This window comes from Homo sapiens, chromosome 9 (assembly GCF_000001405.40).
Source record: "Homo sapiens chromosome 9, GRCh38.p14 Primary Assembly".
NCBI lineage: Eukaryota > Metazoa > Chordata > Mammalia > Primates > Hominidae > Homo > Homo sapiens.
Window position 1 is genome coordinate 8,367,586 of NC_000009.12, and position 19,186 is coordinate 8,386,771.

General features: G+C 37.1%; 1 protein-coding gene across 55 annotated transcripts in view; it reads right to left on the minus strand.

Moving 5' to 3' along the window:
* The window catches only part of PTPRD (protein tyrosine phosphatase receptor type D), a 2,298,757-nt gene that overhangs the window by 53,340 nt on the left and 2,226,231 nt on the right, over positions 1–19,186 (minus strand). For all 55 annotated transcript variants that reach the window (NM_002839.4, XM_017014961.3, XM_006716827.5 and 52 more), the window contains 2 exons: positions 9,022–9,141; positions 8,351–8,505 (listed from right to left, as the gene is read on the minus strand). In NM_002839.4, coding sequence (NP_002830.1) covers positions 8,351–8,505; positions 9,022–9,141 — 275 coding nt within the window. The remainder of the gene's footprint in view (positions 1–8,350; positions 8,506–9,021; positions 9,142–19,186) is intronic.

Here is a 19,186-nt window from a genome sequence, read left to right on the forward strand (position 1 = left end):
ATTATAACAGTACTTAACACATTTTTCCGTGTTAAATATTCCAGTTGCCACCCATCTTCTATGTTAATGTATACATGCACATGTTTTCTACTCTTCTGAATCAACAATTACGTAGAACTCAAACTCACAGTCCAGAAAATATAATAGTATTCTTTGTGGACATTAACAGAGTCAATTTAAATAACTGTGAGGTAAAACAATAATTTTTAAAAGTCAGTAACTGTAAACATTTGTTGACTTCTTTCTATGTAACAGGCTAATGAATCACTTTACACGGCTCTTATTTAATCTTTAAAACCAATACTATGAAAGAAATACCACTATTATCCCCACGTTACTGATCAGGAAATTGAGTCTTAGAAAGATTGTTTAATGTGCTCGAGGTCACAGATGCAGTAAATAGTACAGCTAAGATTTGAACTCTGTTTGTTAGAACAATTTCAATTGCAGAGTTTTCACTACCATACAATGCTGGCCCCTAAGAGCAGCTCTATGTGCTAGGAGCCATCTCATTTGTAGGTTAGGGACAGTTCTACCCCCATTTGTAGGATACACATTGAGCAAAATGGAAAATGGCAGTATAATATACACATAGATCAGAAAGGGGGTTCTCCTTCTGATTCCGCTTACTAGTTAAGTACGTTTTCTTCAGCAAATCACTTAACTTCTCAGGGTCTCAATTTCCTTAGCTGGCGAGTGAGGAAAGTAATAATGCACATCTGCCACTCTTATCATAAACATCAAATAAAATAAGTGATGGGGAGATGCTCTGTAAACAGTCACTTACAACACAAAAGTGAGTTGGTTGCTATTCTTAGGCACGAAATGGGAACAGGATTGGTGATAGGTTCTCAGTTGCCCTTGAAGGAACCTTCATCAAATAGACCTGATATATGATTTTGAAGTTAGATAGTATTGTATTACTATTGGCCTCACCTCTCTTCCACTGCATTTATATCTATTATGCTTCTTTTCAAATAAATTCTGCATTTCATCAGGCAGCCAGAATGCTCTTCCTAGCACCTCAACTTCTCCATTTTGAGTTTTACACTTTATACCTACTGGGGACACTATGCAATTCCTTTTAATGCTTTTTTTTTTTTTTTTTTGGTTCCATTACTTTTAAACTATTTTGGCAGAAGGAAGATATTTTTCTATCATAGGACTGTGCCATCAACAGACTGAAGACCCAGCCTCCTGTTTTTAACACTATGTTGTTTCATAAACTACGCATTTGCTTCTTATACAGAATTATTGGTGTATGAAAACAGAATCTGGCATAATGGGTTCCACATGGCATAATTATTTTTCCTTACCTTAAAATGTTTCCATAAATAAGGACATAATTTGTACACTCCACCCATTCTTATCGAGATGTTGGCATTTTTAACAATCCTACCTTTCATCTACAGAAGGCTAGCATCTCCTATTCCGTAATTTACACATAAAGATAAACCCCAGGTTTAAGGAAAACATGGGTCTATGGTTCACGTTTGTCAGCATCTCAAAACTATCACATGCTTTGGCAATACTTGTGGTCTTTGATCTGAAGAGACATTTGAATGGAACATTAGAAGAAATAAAAATGGAATTTAGAATGAATGGTTAAAAATGTATTAAACAATTTTCCACAGCACTCTTAGCTTCTTTGGATCACAAGGTCTTTTGTTTTTATGCTCTTATGCAATGCTTTCCAAAATCTTTCTTTTGACTTTGAAAAGGCCATTTTCATCACTATTGGGTTGGGCTTAGGGGTACATGGTTATGCTATGAATATGGCCTACATAGTTTCCTGGTTGTGCTTCCATATGCAAAGTCAAAAAGTATTATGAAGATTGGAACTTAGGAGTTTTTACAACCCCAAACTGGCATCTGATTTTTTACTGGGCCATTTTAGTGGCCTGTTGGTGCTTCTAGGACCTTATTGCTCTCTATGTGGTATGCAGTCCCTATTCCTTCCAGTTCTGAAGAGTGGTTTGATTCTATGATTGTGATAGATTTAAGTGATACTCAGGAAGCTTATTTTATTTTCCTTGAGACTGTTTCACTTAGAAGATCAATTCAGGAGTTGTGATCTATCCCCTTTTCAATTTTTTTCATAAATAAATGTTTCTCTTATGAATAGAAAGTCTTCCTTTTGTCTTAAAAAGAGTTAATGTGACATAAGATTTAGTATCATGGGTCAAGGTTTTATAACTGATTCACTGAAATTACAGCTTTTTCCCAATGTATTCATTCTAGTATCATGGGTCAAGGTTTTATAACTGATTCACTGAAATTACAGCTTTTTCCCAATGTATTCATTCCTAACAAATGCAAATACTTAGAGCAAATCAGTTGTCATGTCCCTCTGGTACTAGAATATAGTCTTTATAGAATATGTGGTTTAGAATAAAGCCACAAATTATTCTATAAAACAACATAAGGAACAAGGCTCAAAAGTGGAACAAAACGGCCTTAGTTTCTAAGTGGAAGACTAAGACGATATAGGAAAATGTAATCCATGACCTCTTAAGAAAATCTCAGTTTAATAAATAGAAAGTTCTGCCCCAAAATCACATTTTATAAATAAGATAAAAACAATACTATATGTCTCTATTCATGCACTGCACATATATATATACACACACACACACACACACACACACACACATATATATATATGTGCTGTGAAGAGATAATGGCAAATATCTGACAACCTTTACACATGTGCAGTAAAGAGCTAAGTATAAGGGACTAGGTGGTCTCTGCAATACGAAGAGTAAGAACTGGATATAATGATGGGTAAACAGGCCATGGACTTTGAAATCAGGATGAAATGTATATGCTGTATGACCTTGAACAAATCACTTATTACCTCCCTGTGCGGAATGCTCTTTGCAAGCAAAATATACTATTTTCTGGATTAAATGACTGCTCAGTAATACTTGGAAAACAGTAATGGCTCCATGATTGGTAGCTATTGTGATTATTTATGTTCCAGTGATTAAAGAATGGAAAAGACTCACATGCTAGCAATTGCCTTTGATTTAGAAAGAGTGAAAGAAAGGCCAGAATATAGCAATGTGGTATGGAATCAGAAAGGAAGGAGTGGCTCATTCTGACCAGGTCACCAGGGAAGGCTTGACAGAGAAATCAGAGAAATGCCCCCAAAGGGACAGCAGAAAGGGGAGCTAAAAACCATCATGGGACCTAAAGTCTGGAGAATCTGCCTGATTTATAGGGCCATGCAACATGGGGAACATAATGGCCTTGCCACCACTAGTAGTATGAGCTCAGGCAAGCAAGCTGATCTTACCTGGCCTCTGCTGTTTTTTCTTCTGTGAAATGGGAGACTAAAATTACTCCTTGTAAATTACCACGGGAAGCGAAAAGCAGTAACACATATAAAGCACTTATGACAGGGCCTCTTCAGTTGGCAAGAAAGATTATTTGATGTTGAATAAGTGCTCAACTATCCTGAACTATTAGTATTGCTACAAAATGGGGAGCTATGTCTAAATTTAATCATGGAATAGATGGTATGTGGGAAAGAACATGAAATGTAGAGTGGTAGAAAAAGGAACTCAGAAATAGTTATAAGTAAGGCAAAGGCAATTTAAAAAGTAAGCTCTCATAAAGAAATACCCCAATATAAAGGGAAAAAAATATAGTCTCTAAGGTGAAAACACAAACCAAAAAAATCAGTCCAGCCTTGAAACTCTTACTATTTTTGTAAAAATTACTAAAATGCCATATGTAATTCAACAAACTTGGACAAGCAATTATTGAGTGCTTACTAAGGTGTAAGAGCTGGGGGTAAAAATGTACATAAGCCATGACTCATGCCTTCTGAGATCTCAAGGTACGTATGATCTGCACACATATAGCTAAACTTGCACAGTGTGAACCTATTCTATGAGAATTTACAGAATATTTAATTCTTCCTGTGGGAAGATAAATGGGGAATAAGCTTAAAATGTTTCTCCAGAGTTACAACTCAAATGTCTACAAGATAAAGCAATGTCATAAATGTGTGTAAAACAATAGGGAGTGGGAAGGGTTTGCAAAACTGGATAGTGCATTCCAGCTTAAAGAAATTCATGCTCAAATTTTAAAAAAATTATCGTGTATATCAACAAAACTATCTGAAGCCAGTTTGCAACCTCTGCAATACAAATAGAAAATGCTATTTAAGTTGGATTATGCATCAAGGTTGAACACCATCAGGTAGAGAAGGGGAATTGTTGAAATTCTAGACCAGATAAATATCTTTGGCTGAGATCCAGAGATGAAGATATTTGGAATGTGTAGCTATCAGAAGATGGCCCAAGGAGTCAACAATGAGGTGCGAAGGGTGAGATCAGCCTAAATTACAAAGGGGCATGAATGCAATGATAAGCAGTTCACACCTCATCTTGAAGGCATCAAGGACAATGGCATTAAGTTCCTTTAACAGCATCATTTTAAGAGTTGAAAGGTTTCTCAGGTCTTTATACAAACAGATGTATTATTATAAATGATCCTCTCTAACACATAGCATCAACATGTTCTCTCTCACTGAGAAAAGTCTCATGGGATTGCCATAGTAGAAAATATGTACATTTGAAAAAATCCATTCATTTAATGATTTGGATGTTTATAAACATCTGTTATTTAATAAAATGGATGGCTCAGGTTACGTAGATGATATCCAAATTCATGTTGAATTTTTCTTCTCAGAGTTCTAAATATACACACAGCTTTTAAAAGGTACTCAGTAATGAATAATTATTAATAATTTAAAATTACTGCATACTTCTATATGCCATGCACTGTCTCAAGTGCTTTATATGTATCTATTTTATGTCATCTTACTTAATTTTTATAAAATTCTCATTGCTATAGCGTTATCCCATTTTACAGGTGAAGAAACAGAGATTAAATAATTTGTCCAAAGGCATACAGCCAGTAAGTAAACAAGCTGACATTTTACTTAGGCAGTCTATCTCTCCAGAGTGTGTACTCTCAATGTTGAGATTCTATGCTCTGTATGAACTGATAGATAACTAGAGTTGGCCTTTCCTTGCTTGCCTGTTTGAACTAGACCTTCTTTCTTTTAGAAATCTGGTAGACTCTGTCCTCCTTGACCTTCCAAGGCCTTGTCTGCGCTTGTTGCACTAGGCTATCCCTAAAATTCTTTTTTGTTGTTGATTGTTAGAATTTCTTTTACTTAATGGCTCATTTTTGTCTTAGTCCAATTACAGCACAGAATCATTGGAGGACCATAATTTCCTTTTTCTGTACTGCACCGCCAGCCTGACCTTTTTTGGGCTACTACCTGACTTCTTTGAAACCTCCTCCATTCTCACAGGATATATTGGGCAGAAGGCTTGGATCTACTTTGTCACTACTTCTTTAATATAGAAAAAAAGTTTAGTACATAATAAAAGAAATCACAACACAAAATACAGTATTCACCTTCCAGACTATTTTTTGTGATTATGTGTAACATGATCATGATTAACCGTGATCAGTATCCCTTTGTAACATGGCTATTGTGGCTTTTTGCATAGTTTCTTTCTGCTCAGAAATGGTTTCTAAACTAGCATTTCTGGGATGCTACACGGATAACTGTCATTTAAGAATGACTTTAATCTGCTGCTTTGTCACAAAACATTATACTGTCAAGTTTTAACTTGGCTTGTATTCAACTCAAGGATTCAAGATAACATGGATGTTGACGATGTTGACATGACCCTCCTAAATAAAGAGGCCAAAACTTCTTACCAGACATGTAAAATTACCTATGGGTAATTATTTCACAGAGCTCAGTTTATGCAGTTCCTTTCCCTCATTGTTTCGAAGTTGCTAACAAATTTCTTCCACCAATATACCTACTCTTCTGTTGTTTGTTTCAATAAGCAGCTTCTCCAGAGCCTCAGGCACAGCACTTCCAAATGTCAGCAGCTATTAGCTCAGCACATTCATCTTTGTTTCCTTATTTCTCCTGAGTAGCCTGTCTCTCTCAGAGGTGAGTCCAGGTGGCTTAACATAACATGGATGCGGGTGTGTGTGTGTGTGTGTGTGTGTGTGTGTGTGTGTGTGTGTGTATTTTCTCAAAATAAGGCATTACAGCTATTTAATCTTATCTCTCATATTTGCTATTTGCTTGCAAACATTTTTGTATCTGTCACGGTGCCTAGCATGAAACCCATACCTTGCTTATAATCTACAGAGGGTGAAATGCATTTTAAAAATTATGTATGTATGTATGTATGTATGTATGTATGTATGTATGTATGTGTATGTGTCTGTCTGTCTATCTATCTATCTATCTATCTATCTATCTATCTATCTATCTATCTATCTACCTACCTACCTATCTCAGTTTTCTAGTGCCTCCACTTTAATTTACGGAAATGGGAAGAACATTTGGAGAAAGCACAGATTCTGTATTTTGAAATGCAATGTGAAAAAAATCATCATGCTGTTTTTCAGTGAAAACTCCCAAATTATGTGTCTCTAATTTTTGTTCCCATTATTTTAAACATATAATTACACACGTGTCTGTGTGTGTGTGTGTGTGTGTGTGTGTGTGTGTGTGTGTACCGTATTTTTGCCATTAGGCATATAAGGGCAACATTTCTTCTGCTAGACCAAATTTTCTGTTTCTCTATCCTTTGGCCAAACTCTATCTGAAAACAATTCATGTGTTTCATGTGTGATTTTTATAATCAAGGTCAGATCTGACCAAGCAGAGGCACCATATAATCAGGTACATTGGCTCTTTGAGGCCTGCAAAGAACTGTGAGCATACAGACTGATCAAACTAGCACCTGAATTAAAACCAAAAGGCAGGAGAACCAGAAGTCTACTTTCATGATGTAAAACCACTTGCTCAAATTAAAAATAATTTTTAATGTTTTACAATCATGCAGAAAACTGCAACTGGAGTGGCCAGTCCTCAAAGGACCCTGTCTTGGATGTAGGGAAACAAGAATCTAGATAAGACTTGAGGCCGATTACGCCATCACCTTCTTAGTTATCAGTACTTGAAGCAAACTTTGTAGCCTCTCACTTCTCTTGACACGACATAATTCTCTTAACCCAACATACTGTTGTTATGAACATCAAACAAAATAAAGCATAGGGGAGTGCTTTGAAATTAGTAAAATACTCTCCATAAATACAAGGTAATGTTATTACTAGTTTTTATCTAGGAAAACATTTGCTGGAAAAGAGAAACTTTATCCTGTTTGGAACTTGCCAGCTCATTGTTTAACAATGAGCATTGTAGCATGGTTTGGCTAGGTGAATTTCACTGCTTTTATTCTGATCAGCCCGTTGACCCCATTTCTAAAAAACTAGCTCCTTTTCTAGGGTCTACTGTATTATATTTATATTATAGTATAATATGGGGTATGAAAGAGAGTGATGGTATTAAGTCACGATAGAAGTGATTTACGATAGATGCTTTCTTGGGTTTTTCCTATACTCCCAGACTTCTATTTTACTTATCTGTGGAAGAAGCAATATTTTCTCATATTTGAATTTCTCAGGTTATAAAGAACTATCATGAAATTATATGCACTATACATTTATATAGTAATAAATAGACTCTGACCAGATAGCTTGAGTAGTCTGCTAATAATGATACTTAAGAGGCACTCAAACAACTGGAAGAAATCAGCTTAATATTTAAAAATCTATAAACATTTATATATATCGCAATCTGAGTGGTGATGTAGCTGTTAGAGTTAAGCAAAAAATACAAACTATACATTTCGAGAGAAATACAACTTATTACCTTTGAGTACATAAAACGACTTCTTCCAAATTATAGAACTTGTATATATTCTATTAAATACATTTTTAAAAATCAAATTAGTGATTTGTCATGAGACTTGATATTACTAATGTACAGAAGGCATCTTTAAGCAATAAGATAGTCTCCCTAAAGCTTGTATGATATATTATTATTTTGTTCAGTAATTTTTTTCCCCTATAAATAGTAAAAAGGTTGTATCAGTCCAGCCCACAAGAACTTGTCAAACAATACAAATTTGTTTTTAAGAATATTCCCCCACATATTATTTTTTGTTTTACATATTTATAGCCATGTGCCCACTTAATTTTGTGTTTATTTATTTCTCTTCACTGGGAAAAGACAATAGCAGTGGACCATAGCTACCTACTATCTCCAGGGGAAATATGCATCTATGTCAAATCCATCCTATTGATGTTAGCATAGGCCTCATTTGACCAAAAGAGAGCTGTATTATTTATGAAGACATTTACTATTCCAGAATGTCAAGAAGTTGCAGAAACATCCAATGAGAGTCAATTTAGCTTTCTGTTTCCTGACTGCAAGTGAACAAACGCTTCTTACCTGCAGTGCACAACCATCGGACCAGCATCGGGAGGGTTACAGGTTTTGACTCTACGTAAGAAAGCTAGAAAAGGTGTAGGGTGTTCTGGAACACCATGATCAGGCCAGGCGGTGAACTGGAATTGTCTCACTTCTCTCTTCTCACTTGAACCATTCTGTGAAATAGGAATATCAGCTGAAATTCTGTTTTCCAAGCCTCAGGTGGTAATGATGAATAACAGGGAAGAGGTAATGCTAAAATGTGCTATTTTAATTCCTTTCTACCACCCTGTAGCCTTTGGGAAGACACACTCTTTGGAAATAGAAACCCCAAGCTATTTGTAAATGACAAATATTTGCGCAGGAAGACAAAATTCTTAGGTGAGAAGCATTATATTTTTCAGGTTTAACTACCAGGAGAGCTCCTATCACATTTTACAGGAAGAGCTAGTTCTTCTTCATCTACTCTTCATTGGCTGAAACTTTCATTTGGAGCAAGAGTTTTATATTTACTGATAAATCGCCAGACAAGAAGAAAAATGGCTGAGTGATAATGGAAGATCTATTTCATTCTTCACTGTTGCCATTGAGATCAAGATTTAAGTAAAGCCTTAAGAGATTTCATTTCTCAAAAGAAGCTTTCTTTAAACAATAGAGAAGGGAAAGGGAGGAGAAAAAGATGAAAAGCAAACCTTGTAAAGTGCAAATGTTCGAACACAATATGTGGCCAGCTCCACAGTATCAAGCAGCGTTACTTGAACGAGTCCGTGGGTTTCTGTGCCTCTGCTAGGCCAATACTGGTCACACTTCACCTACAAGAAACAAGTGACACATTCAGGGCAAATGCTCATCAATTTCTCTATTAACTTTGCTTTGAGTTGCTGTTGAAGGAAAACAGCTTTTCTGCACTTCATTTTATGTTGATCTTTTTCTGGCATGCATTTTTGTTATCCCAATATATGTAAATTACTGCTCTGATGCCAATATAAACCACATTTTTCAAACTGGTAGGAATACTAAACAGTAACAGATTCAATTTTCCTGGAGAAAAATAAGTTGCAGATTGTTGCTGGGTAAAATACAGAGAGAGGGATTTGAAACTTCAGTGAGCTTGAAGAGAAAACAAATTTGTCCTGGGATAGACGTTATGAATCACATCGGGAGGATGACACTTTGTCATTTAAACTACATGGTAAGATAGTGTTACTTCATCAAGATTTAAAAAGCACAACTTCCAAATATGCTTGTTTAAAGAAAAGTAGAAATAATTGGAAAATCTATCAAAGTATAATAAACAACATAAGCATGTGCTTTTTTTTTGAACACAAGATAAATGTTATTTGTATCCAAAGCAAATTAAACCTATAATGTCTGCAGGAAAAAGAGTTGTCTGTTCCTTAAAAAGAGTCTCAGAGGGTCACACACTAACAGTGCAAAGTTTAAATAATTTAAAATTCATCCAAGATGAATAATCTACAATTTCTATGTGAAGTGGAACAAAAGCACATAAAAAGTTTTCAGCCTAATTAGTTTAACACACAACAAAGAATAATTCCAAGTCTGCAGTAAACCTCAAATTCACTGAATGAGTCTGTTGGGCATTAAAAAGTATAATGAAAAGTAACAAACACAGCACAATATTTTTGGAGTAAGGCCATAGATCTGACTATATTTACCCTTTCTATCTCAGACTTTTTTTTAATGGGACTAATTCTTAAGAGAACCCAACTGAAATACATTTCTCTAGGTAAAGAAAGCTCCTAGCAGTATTTTACAATAGGGAATACACCTTTCTATTTGAAAAAGAACAGAAAATCACAATCTTTGGATTTAAACAAAGGCAATAAAGCATTATTATTAGAGACACTAGAATTTTTTGGGTCCAGCAAATAGAATTATTACATAATGATTTGCTTTTATGTTTAATATGAGTATTTGTAACATTCTGTGAATAATACTGTAATTTTCTCTTTCACAGAGATAGCATTTGCTCCTCTGAGAATTCAGGCTCTTTCCATGAAACTATTGGCCCTTCTAAGAAAGGGAGAAGTTTTATCCTGTACAGAATTTCCCAGACAAGACAAAAAAGAAAAGCACTTTATAGCTATACAGTAAGCTAGATATTAAATTCACAAGGTTTGATTCCTATGCCTTGATTTCAACTTTGAGACCACACAAACATCATCTTTTTGATGAAAACAAACAAAAATTGTCCACAGTAAGACAAAAATTTTGCCTTAATAAGATGTAAAGAATATTTTGTGTGTTTCCTAGTTGTACAAAATAGCCTTCTGTGTTTTTTATTTCTATCATTTGCCCTGACTCAAAGAGATAACAACATAGGGAAATGATAATTCTTGAAGGAGAATACTGACGTAGAGTGACCAGGCATGGGCATCTCTATATGTTCTTTCACCATAAGCTAAAACCCAGGTCACAGATGACATATTTAGCAAAAGCTACCATCTGAATAGAACCAACACTACTTCAGCAGTCATGATATAGATGAGAAAAAAAAAATTAACAAAAATTATGCCAAAGGCTTTGTTTTAAACCATGAAATAGATGTCAGGTGGATGTCTCCCAGCAGAGGACAAGAGGAACTCTGGAGGCCTCATATTGTAATATTCAAGAAGATGCCAACAATGGGTTGAGTTGAAGATTCAAGAGAGAAACTCAAATTCATCATTTAACAGTCTCAGCTGGAGAGCAACCCTTTCGGTTTAAAATAAACTAATGAAATCCCTAAGGACAAATATCACTATGATATGCACAAAAACAGCACATTAATGCAACAAAATGATCTATACAGCCAGTTCAATGCACTGAACCAAATTCAATATAATTATATTTTAAAACTGGGACTCGATTACATTTAGACCTTCTAGTGAGGTAAGAAAAGGAGATGAAGGAAAGAATGAGAAGGCAACCTTCATACAACTTTTGGAAAAATGACTCTCCATCTACAAATCTTCTCCATTCCTAAGATGCAGGAAGAACTAAAATTATACTAATCCTTACATTTCTAGTAATAAGTTTCAAACTGCAACTATTATTGGCTTAGACTCTGACCCCTTTAGAAAAAAAATACCAGGAAGCATTACTGTAAGGAGTAAACGCTGTGAAAATTTCTAGCTAAAAGAAGAAAAAAGTTGCTTTTGAACAATGCATTTTTAGTATTTACCAAAAGAAAAATAAACATTTCAAACTCAACTGCAAAAATCAGAGGCAATTTTTTAAAGCGGATATGTCTAAATATTACCATTTTCTCTCAGGAAATATTTCTCAAAAGGACCTTATGAAAAATAAATATCCTAACGTATGTGGAAATGCACACACATGGCCTCAGCAGTGGGATTAGAAGCTTTTCCTGAGCTTATCTGAATAGTGACAGCAATACATTTTTCCCTTTGCTGGTAAGCACCTCAGTACTTCCTTTCTCGATCTCATTCTCTGAGTAGCCTGCACACCTTCATCTGATTTTGGAGGGCTGAATTTAAGGGCTTAGAGTTACTGACAAATATTATTTTAAGTCTCCTTTTTTGCCATATGCTAAACATATGATTTCTGATTTCAGCATTAGGGAGCAAGTATGAAATGTAGTGAGAAAGAAAAAGGAGAACAATAGAGATATTTTTTCTTTCCTCATTAGCCAGTATAAATGAACTATCTCCATTTTCCTCTCTTAAAATGTTTTCCTTTGACAACTTTCCTTCCCCTACTCGGTCTTCTTAAGAGAAAATATCATAAGGTATTTCTAGAGAGAGTTACTATTTGTTAGGCTTCACACATAAAGCTGATTGTGAGATGAGAAATGAAGGCAGCTCCCTTTGAGTACATAAGAACTAGAAGGCAGGAGCTACTGAATACGAATACGGTTTTTTGCCTTTTTCTATTTGATTTAGAATGGATACAAGCGGCCTCTAGGACTGATTCATGGAAGGTCAGGCAGAGTCTCCCTGGATGCCTGGAAAATTGTTTCTCTGTTTCCAGGACCAAAGTCTGGCCGCCTCATCTGTGAAATGGGAACAGTGTCTCCAGCATTACAGAGCTATTGTGGGGATTGAAGTGATGCCCCTAAAACACTTAACCCAAATGGCTGGCACAAACAGGCATTCAACAAACACTAGCTATCATTGGTTATCAGTTTGATGACATTCTGGATTTTTGTGTGTGGGGGGTTGTTGTTATAAATTACCTAAATCAGTCTAAATGTGAAAAAAAAGAACATGTTATTAATTTCAGCAGATACTGATTTAGGATTTTCTAGGTGCAAAGCAAGGTGTTAGCAGTTGTGGGGCATCAAGGTGACATAAGACCCAGTCCCTGCCCTCAATCCATTAGCCTTACTGACTAAGTGGGGTGTTTCTAAACCTCCTTGTTCTTCAAATAGGTGGTTCTGAGATTCCAAACAATTCTCTTCATCTATGTGGGCCCCAATGTCTTCTGAAAAGAGTATGTGTTCAACTCAGAGGTGGAAAAGAAGAACAGCAGAACTTGTCACTCAGGCTGTGGTTTAGAAACATCACCCAGTAACTTTACTTGAAGCTTAAACTGAGACAGTTCAGATTTTTGGCTAAATTTGCGGGAGGCATTTCTTTTCATTATCACAAAGTTATTACCCTTAAGTGGAGCTTTCATTTTTCTATAATTACGGAAAGAACAGGGTGACCATTGCTAAATTTATGCAATGGAATTAATTTATTTTACCTTTTTCATGACAAACTATCAAAATCAAGTTGATGGAATAATAAAACATATTTAAATTTATTTTTAAAACTCTTGTCATTGCAAATATCTGGTAGGAGCTGATCCATTAGGTCTGCTGAACATGCTTTGGGAGAAGGGCTCTCGTTCTAGGCTATTTTTACTCCCATATGGCTTACCTTGGGAGTGCTCAGCATATTGTAGGCACTTAATGAGCGGTAGCCAACTTTATAATCAATTAACTAGATTGGCTTATTTTTAAATTGTCTACCACTTTCTGAAAACAAAACCTCCTCATCTCAATTTAATAAAGACTTACTGAGCATGGCAACATGGCAAGGCATCAGAATTCCAACTGTAACAAACTGATACCTTGAAAGGGTTCTAGCATTGCTAATCCAAAACGTATTTGCCACGAGATTATTTAGCCAAAGAAGGACTTAGAAGAGGCAATAAATGATACGTGGGATACCATAACTATTGCTAAAAGTGACTCTAAATTCGTACCTAGTAAGTTTGGGCAGAGTGGTTGTTCAAGCATTAGTATCCTGTAAGGAATGGACAAACAGGCTAACATTAGATAACACAAGTCACAGTTATTTTTGGGAGTAAGGAAATGTTGGTACCCTTTTGTCAATACCCATTTAATGAGGGAGACTATAATAAAGGAAAGTTTTAGATAAATTTCATTAATTTTAGTGGGCAGAAAAAATAAATGCTGAACTATTTATTTCTACAGGTTATAGTAACTATTCTGGAAATTTTTAAGACCAGATTGAATACTTGATTTTCCACGATAAGGACAGAGAGCATCTCAGTGATTCTCTTTTAACAACAGTGTAGTTCTCTGCACTCAATCAATATTTGGCTATATCTATTCCCAACTGGCAGTCAGTCTGGTTTGTGTATTCCCCCATTTTATTATATCTTTACTAATCACTATTTAGTGGAGGACAAAGAGGCACTACAATATTTGAAATGAGAGTGATATTAAAGCATTTGACCACCAGTGCAGCTTTTCATATATACAGCCATAAAGTTGAAAAATATTATTCTCAAAATAAACCAAATTACATGTCATAAAATTGCCTACCAGTTCATTGAACCATTCGCACACTTTCTAAACTGCTTATTAACTTTAAAAAAGTTATTCCCTTTTGTTTGATGTGTCTGCCAGAAGTTGACATAGGGAGCTGCCGTAAACTTTTCCAATGACTTCCCCCATTAAACTGAAAGTCATTAAGTCTCAAGTTTCTGGCACTTTGTCCTAACCAGAGCAGAACTGTGTGAGGTGCCTCTTTCTCGTGGCCAAGTAGCACTTTGATATCAGCTCTTCCCACATGAGGTGGGTCCTCAGAGTATCCACCTCAGACCTAATCACTCCTGAGGATCACCTGGGTGCCCCACATAGCCCTACAGCCACCTCTGCTTCTGCCTTGGTCTGCCCAGCAGTTGCCTTTGACTCCAGTGTCACCTCTTCCAAACAGTATCATTAGATGACTCAATGTTTCAATAAAAATATAATTTATAGGTACCAGCCAGCATCAATGCAGTTCAATATTTTAACAACCAGTACAACTATGTTGGGTATTTACCAGTTGAACATCAGCCTTTCCAGACATTCTGCTGATAAAGAACAGAGAAAAACCAAACATTGGACCCTAAACACTAGTAAACAGAGATTAACACATACTTCTGAAAACTTTAGAAATGAGACCTAATCCAGCACAGGAGAACCACAGACATGAATGCAGAGAATGAGAGAGGCTTTGTACAAAGTCATCAGGAGCAAAGTTGCATCTCCTCCTCCCATTCCAGCTCTTTACTCAGGTCATCAGGACTCTAACTGGCTTTAAGAGGAATGCTTTGAGCCAGAATCTGTCAGCTGCCTTTCTAAGTAGAGCAGGTGGGGTGGGGAAAGAAGGTAGATAATCCAGAAAGCTAACAAACAGCAAGAAATTGGTGGGATTCTTTCTCTTTTATCTGACGCTGTGTCTGCTGACAAGAGAAAACCAAAAGTGTAGAACTTTCTAGATAAGGACCCCAACATCCTTTAGATTGCCAACATGAGCATCATTCTTTTTGTTGCCAGCGTCCTATTTACATTAAGTATCCACCACTTTCAAAAACAATCCCATACATCATGCAGACTCCAAAGGCAATGTTTGTGCTGCTGGTCCTAAAGTTGCTTAAGGAAAAAAGCAGTTTCTGTTGCCCTAGATAGGCAGCACTTTAGGCTGCAGTTTGAGAAATTAAATGTTCACGGCCTTTGGCGCTTCCAGTTCCATTTGGAAAAGGACACAAACCTGGCATTTGGAAAGCATTTGCTCTCCATTAAACTTACCGAACCTTGACAAACCAGAAGGGCCAAGAATTAGTCTGCCACTGGCCAAGGCTGGACTTTCCAAAACTGATAACAGCAATGAAAACAATAGCACTGCCATTTATAATCTTCAATGGGATTCTGTCAAATTTTAACCCAAAAGGATCTCACAATCTGAAAAGAATCTCAAGCTTTGTTTTATAGGAAAAGAAGAAAATGTTTGAGCACAATCTCTTTTTCTACTGCTTCATGCTCAGAATTGCCCTTTTAGCCATAGAACAAAATGTGAATGTCTCCACCTCACCTTCACTTTGTGCTAGGGTAAGTTTACTAAGGTGACATTCAAGGACTGGGGAAGACATAGGAGGAGGAGTGAGTGGTCATTAGGTCAGAAGTGTTCCACCAGCCAAATGTCAAGTTCCCTAAACTGTTAACAAAGTGAAGTTAACACCAGCCCAGTCTCTTTGGCCCTGACAGCATCTAACCTGCATTCATTAGCACAAACCACAAAATTTAGTAGGGCAGGAATTTTCCCATTCTTTGGCCTAAGATAGAACTCAAGTCACGATGCACAAAACATTTGATCTGCTTTACTAATATATGGCATCATCTGGTTTGTATGATTCCCTATTTGGAAACAGAAAATGGGACTTAAGATAGCTTGGAAACCAAGAATTAGGATTCTTCATTTCTAGCCCTATATTTTCACTACTAATTGGCACAGCCCACATTGGATTACAATAAAAATCATGACTGATTTGTTAAGTGTCAAAATTTCACTCCCCATCTCCAACATTTATAACGCTAAGTACATTTACAAACAGCTCTTTAAGTGAATCAACCCCCACTATAAAGCTTGCAAGACAAGATAAACATTGAGTCTCTACTATGGGCAAGGAATGAAGGCAAGCTGGTGAGGTGAAGTAAAAGTCAGATATATTCTAACCCTGACTAAGCCTTTCAACTGCTAATACTAATCAGGGTTACTCAAGAATTTTCTAAGCATGAGGTTGATGCATTCTCTCTGTGTTCTGTATTTCAAGATGGGAGACAGAGTAGGAGAGAAACAGTCAAGAGAAGATAGATGAAGGGAAAAAGGTGAACACTCACACACTAAATAATAATTTAATATACACTTACTTAAAAAAGCAGATGAATCCTACCTCGGAGATGCCAATTCTGCAAGCAAGGCTGCCAATCATGTGCCCCAGTCATCAAAAATAATATCCTTGGAGTGGAAATCCCAGCTGTATACATTTTACTTTCCCTACAAAATGCTTCATTTTTTCCAAACAGTTTCCTCCTTCCATGTGGTTGCCCAGACCAATTCGTGTGCTTATTGGCATGTTATGAAACATGGAAACAATTAGAAACCACATTCTAGGGAACTAGAATGACTTGCTACAGAATCAATGAACTACGCAAAACTTGAGAGGATTTGGCAATAAAGATGGAAACTAGGGAAAAAAAACCACTAACAGTATTTCATATTACACAGTACATTCTACAACAGCTTTAAACTGATCTGTGTGTTTCAGCAGAACTCATGCTTTCCCTTCAAAATCTCCAGCTTCTATCATTGTTTTTTTGTTTTTGTTTTGAGATGGAGTTTCACTCTTGTTGCCCAGGCTGGAGTACAATGGTGCAATCTTGGCCCACCACAACCTCTGTCTCCCGGGTCAAGCGATTCTCCTGCCTCCGCCTCCTGAGTAGCTGGGATTACAGGCGTGTGCCATTATACCTGGCCAATTTTGTATTTTTAGTAGAGATGGGGTTTTTCCTTGTTGGTCACGCTGGTCTCGAACTCCTGACCTCAGGTGATCTGCCCGCCTTGGCCTCTCAAAACGCTGAGATTACAGGCGTGAGCCACCGCACCTGGCCCGTTGTCTTTGTATTTCTTTATATACCCTAATGAAACTCATATGAAATATTCAACTTATACTTTTCCTTCAGGGTTGATAGCTGAATGTATACACCAGGCAAAGAGTCTTCTCAGTTAAGATTGGAATTCTTTAAAGGCCACATTTGAAGGGAAGTAATAGCATTTGAAAATCAAAGAACTCATGTTTTCAAATAATCAACTTAAGTCCTAAGTCATAGTTCACACTTATAAGGGTTTCTTTAGCCATGCAAACACTAAGAATGATCAGTTCTCAAAACAGATGCTAGTGAAACTTCTAATACCTGCTAAGGAATCCAGAAGCCTTTTGTCTCAGTGAGCTGTTCTAACTCACCAAAGGTATTAATACAAGCGCTGTTGATAAACCTCAGACCTGAGCGACAGCTTAAGAGTGAGCCAGCCAGGCACGGGCTGGCTCAAGCCTGCAGTCCAAACACTTTGGGGGGCCAAGGTGGAAGGACTGCTTCAGGCCAGGAGTTTGAGACCAGCCTGGGCAAAAAAGTGAGACTCTGTCTCTACAAAATCTAAAAATTAGCTGGGGGTGGGTGCTGTGCACCTGTAGTCCCTGCTGTTCAGGCAGGATTGCTTGAGCCCAGAAATGTTAGATTACAGTGAACTATGACCACACCACTGCACTGCAGCCTGGACAACAGAGTAAGACTCTGTCTCTAAAAGAAAAACAAAAACGAGTGAACCAGGCTGTGGCAAAACAGAACGCTTGAAAAGAGAGATGGGCTCTAAGGCAGGACAATTTCGTAGCACCATAAAATAACCAAAAAAGGGGAGAGGGGATGTAAAACTGAACAATAAGGAAACGTATCTTCAGTGGCACTTATCACTACATGTAACCCATGTCTATATCACTTATGATTTTCATGTTGTATTATAGTCAATGTAGCAGCCGGAATGTTCTATTTTGGTCTGTTCCCCGGCTGATCTCTATTCTGGAGATCCTGTCCTGGGGGAGAGCAAGTAGGAAAGAATCCCATGGTCTGAGCTCCTCTCTCCTCTTGAATAAAATGCATGGGTGTGCCACACTGGGAAACGTGGGCATAATTAACCATGTTCAGGGACATGGAGAGGTTGGTCAGGATTCATCGTCAACCATAGAGAAATAAACTCTTTTCATTTGGGAACACAGAGTGAATTATTTGGAGGCTATCTTTTGGGGAAACTGAAGTTGTCACTGTAAAGCCCCCAACTTCTTTACCAAACAATACCATTTGAGACTCACTGAGCCACCTTGCCACATCCTTTATCTCAGTCAATACCCACAATAACCCTTCCGCATAATCCAAAAAAGGAAAAATGAGAATTTGAGGAGTCAAGTAAACTTGCTCATTGTCACACAGCTAGTAGAGGCTAGAGTTGGTATTTGAACTCAGACATCTGACTGCAAAGTGCCCTACTTGGAACTGTCCCATAGCTGTCCTCTCTCATGGTGGTATCCCCATGCAGTCCTGCGTAATATCAAGCTATCTTCTCTTCTCTTTCCTTTTCTCCCCTCTTCCCTGCTGCAAATCTATGGTCAGTGGCAGTCTAGCATACTTCTAATTCACAGCAGCATTTACAAGACGCACACATATTTTCTTCATGTACCATAGGAATGAATATTATTTTAAGAACCTGAGCCTTAATCTAAATAATGACATTTCAAGCTTCAGCTCTTGGAGAGGTAATTTGTTTACGTTACCTGGACTACCTCCCTTTATGAGGAAGACTGGTGCCACTTCCCTTCATAGGGCCAGGCTAGTTCCAATGTCTGCTTTGAAGTTGGCTGCTGGGAATTGAAAATTCACTGAGTCCCAAGGTCAGCCCACAGAACCCACCACGTTCCTGAAGTCTGGAGCTATAGATTTCACTAACAACTCACCCCTAGTTATAACATTGTTTTTATAGTGAAAGCCAATTCCAGCTCTTGTTTGGG